The 4,555-nt window shown below is 45.1% G+C and overlaps 2 annotated features.

The window, feature by feature from the left end:
- Positions 1-502: an enhancer, noted in NCBI's record as "H3K27ac hESC enhancer chr15:93061329-93061830 (GRCh37/hg19 assembly coordinates)". NCBI's record gives its function as "activates a minimal SCP1, AML or CMV promoter by ChIP-STARR-seq in naive H9 embryonic stem cells {active_cell/tissue: H9 hESC(naive)}" and the evidence as "EXISTENCE:reporter gene assay evidence [ECO:0000049][PMID:30033119]".
- Positions 3,461-4,053: an enhancer, noted in NCBI's record as "OCT4-NANOG hESC enhancer chr15:93064789-93065381 (GRCh37/hg19 assembly coordinates)". NCBI's record gives its function as "activates a minimal SCP1, AML or CMV promoter by ChIP-STARR-seq in naive and primed H9 embryonic stem cells {active_cell/tissue: H9 hESC(naive and primed)}" and the evidence as "EXISTENCE:reporter gene assay evidence [ECO:0000049][PMID:30033119]".

A 4,555-nucleotide genomic window follows, 5' to 3' on the forward strand; every position in this document is an offset into this window, starting at 1 on the left:
TTCTGAAGTGCCACTTGAAAGTCTCGTGGCACTGACAATAATTCAAAGGCACTGTCTTTTGACCATGCATTCTGATCAACCCCACCCAAGACTGGCCTTCTAATCCAGACTTAACTCTTTCTCAACCAAAATAAAACTTCTGGCTCTAGATGCTCATCTGTAGTCTGACTCCCAGAATTCTTCCAGTGCAGCTTGTAACAAGGTTCCACCTCAGGTGGTAGCGTCCCTTCTCAAGAAAAAGGAAAAGAAGCCCATTGGTAAGGATGGGACTTATGTAATGTTTGTAGTGCCAAGAAAAGGGGTGTTTTCAATCCCAGCTTGACTCCTTTCCATTCCCACCCTGGCTTCATGGGACATCAGAAAAAGGCCTCGAATGCACATTTGTGTCCAAGCCAGCCTGTAAGTCCAAGCTCCGTTCATACAAAGAACCTCTCTCCCTAAAGTGACCTCCCCTTGGCCATCCCTCTGACCTCAGAGTGCACAGCCTGACCTCTCAGGCCCTGAAAACAGGTGGGGTCCATTTGGGCAAATAATTCCTGAATCCTGACAGCCAGGTTGTGGTCTAGAAGAGAGGGTGGACGTGCTAGGTGGGCAGGGGCTCAGCTGGAGGAGGGGGATCTCCAGCACCAAGCCCAGGTCAGAGACCTGGCTCTCCTGCTGTAAGAGAGTCCTGCACAGCATGGCCTATGGCAGCTGGGCACCTGCAATGAGAATGGCTCCCGGGAGCAGTGACTCTTCGGTGGAAGGACGGGCAGAAACTTGCTCATTTTAGGCAGGAGAGAATATTATGAGCAAAGGAATGATGGTAAAAGAGAAGTGAGGGAATGTTAGGTGCTGCCAGTAATTCTGTACAAAGCACAAGGATGAATGTAACTGGTGGGGATGAGGGAAGGGGAGAGAGAGCAATGGGCAGGAGTGTGAAGGGCAAAGGCCATACCAGGCCAGAGAGGCTGGGCTTGGATTCTTGGAAAGCAATGGGGAACTACACATAATTTATGCCGGGGGAGAGTGTGATTGGATTTGTATTCTAAAGAGGCAGCACTCTGCCATCAGGGGAAGTGATGGAATAGAAAACCAATGAGAACAAAGGATAATGGCTGGGAAGATCTAGCCTGTGGAAAGTAGATGCTGTAGGGGACAGGAGGAGAAATCAGGGGTCTCAGAGCAGGCAAGAGGCAGCCTGGGGAGGACATGCCACAGAGATTATTTCAGACCTCAGTTGCATAGGAGGAAACTGCAAAGTTACTTAACCTCCCTGAGCCTCAGTTTCTCTGCTCTTTAAAATAGCATAGAAACTTACTGAGAGAATTTAAATGAGTGCTAATATGAATATAAATTGCCCAGACAGGCCTGAATCATAGGAAATGCTCAGAAAAGGAAAGCTCCCCATAGATTTTTTGGGGAGTTTGCACAGAGAGCAAATAGAATGCAGCAAAGAAAGCCTGGAAAGAAAAGTACCAGTTATTTCATAATCTTGCCAAGATCCTTTGAGCAAAAAGGGAACCAAAGAAGGAAATAGAAAAACAGGTTGGAGTGTTTTTGTTTGTTTTTGTTTTGTTTTTTTTTTTTTGGACAAGCCTTGCGGGGCACTGGGGGGGCTTCTTTGACAAGTACCCTAAAACCTGATGGCAACAAAATGGGAGCAGTTGTAATTCATTAAGAGCACACTGTTGCGAGGCTTGGGAGAACCACCCAACCTCCAGTGGCCGGCCCACCCACCCCCATCAAGAGGCACACTTTCAGGACACTGAAGTACACCACATTCTTGGAGTTTCTCCAGACTAGCTTCTGATGAAGCTGTTCCCCCAGGAATGATCACAGTGAGTCTCAGATTCCTGTGAACAAAGGAGCCAGTAACTCCCCATGACCACAACAAGTAAAACAAAGACAGCTTCAAAGATGGCACCGAGAACTGGGAACAGCAATACAGGCAGGAGTTGGAGAGGATTTCTATTGAAATCCAATGACTGAGCTAAACTATTGATCCATTTTTCTTCTAAGCCTCTACTCACAGAATGCATTCATTTAAAAATAACATTTATAAATATAGGCCAGGTGCGGTGTCTCACGCCTGTAATCCCAGCACATTGGGAGACCAAGGTGGGCAGATCACCTGAGGTCAGGAGCTTGAGACCAGCCTGGCCAACATGGTGAAACCCCATCTCTACTAAAAACACAATGATTAGCCAGATATGGTGGCGCATGCCTGTAATCCCAGCTACTCAGGAGGCTGAGGCAGGAGAATCACTTGAGCCTGGGAGGCGGAAGTTGCAGTGAGCTGAGATTGCACCACTGCACTCCAGCCTGGGCGACAGAGCCAGACTCCATCTGAAAATAAATAAATAAAATTTTTAAAAATAACTTTTATAGATACAGATGCTAGATAGTAAAATCTCATTAAATGAAAACCATTTGACCATGAATCTGTGGCCATTTAATTTGGACTAATTTAAAATTTACTTTTAACCTATGGGAACAGGGCTTCTCCACCAATTTAACCCTGTAATTAGGATGCCAAGAGATTTGGAAAACCACCTCGCACAGGTGCTTCTTCCTTGCCATTTATATCACACTTTTTCTTTTTCACTCGTGGGGTGATATTCAAAGCAAAGTTAACTTAAAGGTATAACCCTCCACTGTCACTCAATCTAGAAATAAAGTCCCTTTCTCTGTTGAGTTTAATGTCTCTTTATTTGCCATGGCAAGAATGGCAAACACATAGCACACACCCTACCCTCCATCTCACCCAAGCCCTCTGCAGGCATGACTAGCTGATCAGAGTAAGGATCCTTCTTAATCCAGTACTTCAAAAGAAGGAAGAGATTCCAAGCATTCCTTCCTCTCAGATAATAAATTTGATGTCCTCCTTCCAAGGAGAAAACATCTATTCTGTGCCCAAGGGCCTAAGAACTGAGGTTACTTACCCAGTGGAAATAGCTTATCCATTTCAGGAAGAACTGACAAAACAGGTGGTAAGATAAGGCTTCCTGTTCCCTCACTCATTTACCAAGAAGGTGGTTAATATTAGCAGAAAAATGGTTTGGCAGACTGAACACTGAATGAAGGTCTCCTTGGACACTTGGCATGTCCCTAGGCTAGAGCAGTGATATGGCTTAGCTCTGTGTCCCCACCCAAATCTCATCTGAAATTGCAATCCCCATATGTCAAGGGAGGGACCTGGTGGGAGGTGATTGGATCACGGGGGGCAGTTTCCCCCATGCTGTTATAGTGATAGTGAGTAAGTTCTCACAAGATCTGATGGTTTAAAAGTGTGGCACTTCCCCTCCACCCCTCTTTCTCTCTCCTGCCATCATGTAAGACCTGTCTTGCTTCCCCTTCACCTTTTACCATGATGATTGTAAGTTTCCTGAGGCCTCCCCAGCCACGCAGAACTGTGAGTCAAAACTCTTTTCTTTGTAAATAACCCAGGCTCAGGTAGTTCTTTATAACAGTGTGAACATGGACTAATATAATCAGTGATCTAAGAAGGGGTAGAGGAGAGCAGAGTAATACAAAATGACAAAGGGAAGTCGGGGAGAAGGATTCCCAGACTGTAACCATAATAGGTCTGTTGCCTGATATGCATGGCAAGTAAATACCATGGCAATACCATGGCCAGACACCAGGTTGCAGCAGAGAAAGAGGTTTAACCGCAGGGCCTCCGAATGAGGAGCTGTGAGTAAACCTCCAATCCATCTCCCCGTGGAGTTTGGGGTTAGGATTTTTAAGTGTTTTGGAGTGGCCGGAAGTGTGGAGATAGGTCCACGAACTGTGATTGGTTGAAGAGTACAGGATGAAGTCACGGGACAGGGAGATGAAGAAGCTCTATTCTCATGCTGATTCCACTCCTCTATGGGGTCTTCAAACTAGTTGGTGTCAGCTATTTCACTGGAATTCTGGATCTCAAAACACATCTTAAGCAATTCTTATGCAAAAGCCTTATGAATGTAAGATCAGAAATCCTATTTATCTAAAACAAGTCTTATGATTCTAGTCTCAGAAATCCTGTCTATAGGAACAACAGGGAAGCAAATGGTCAGTATCTAGTTACAAGCAAGTGGGTCAAATTGCAGCCTGATTCGAGCTTAATTATAAATATATTTCTGTCTGGAATTCTTGTTAACCCTATGAGGATAGCTTCAGGATGGTTATTCAATGAGAGCCAGCCTAGTGTAGGGGTTAAGCACATATCTCTGAGTTCAAATCCTGCCTCTGTTACACTATGTGCCCTTGGGTACATTATGTACCCTCTCTTCACCTTGGTTTCCTCATCTGTAAAATGGAAATAATAATACCTGTGTCATAGTATTGTTGTGAAAATTAAATGTGATCATCTATGAAGAGTTTCTAGCGTATACTACATACTCAAATGTTACTTTTTTTTTTTTTTTTTTTGAGATGGAGTCTCCCTCTGTTGCCCAGGCTAGAGTTCAGTGGCGTGATCTCGGCTCACTGCAAGCTCCGCCTCCCGAGTTCATGCCATTCTCCTGCCTCAGCCTCCTGAGTAGCTGGGACTACAGGCGCCTGCCGCCATGCCCGGCTAATTATTTATTTA

The sequence above is a fragment of the Homo sapiens genome, chromosome 15 (assembly GCF_000001405.40).
Source record: "Homo sapiens chromosome 15, GRCh38.p14 Primary Assembly".
Classification (NCBI taxonomy): Eukaryota; Metazoa; Chordata; class Mammalia; order Primates; family Hominidae; genus Homo; species Homo sapiens.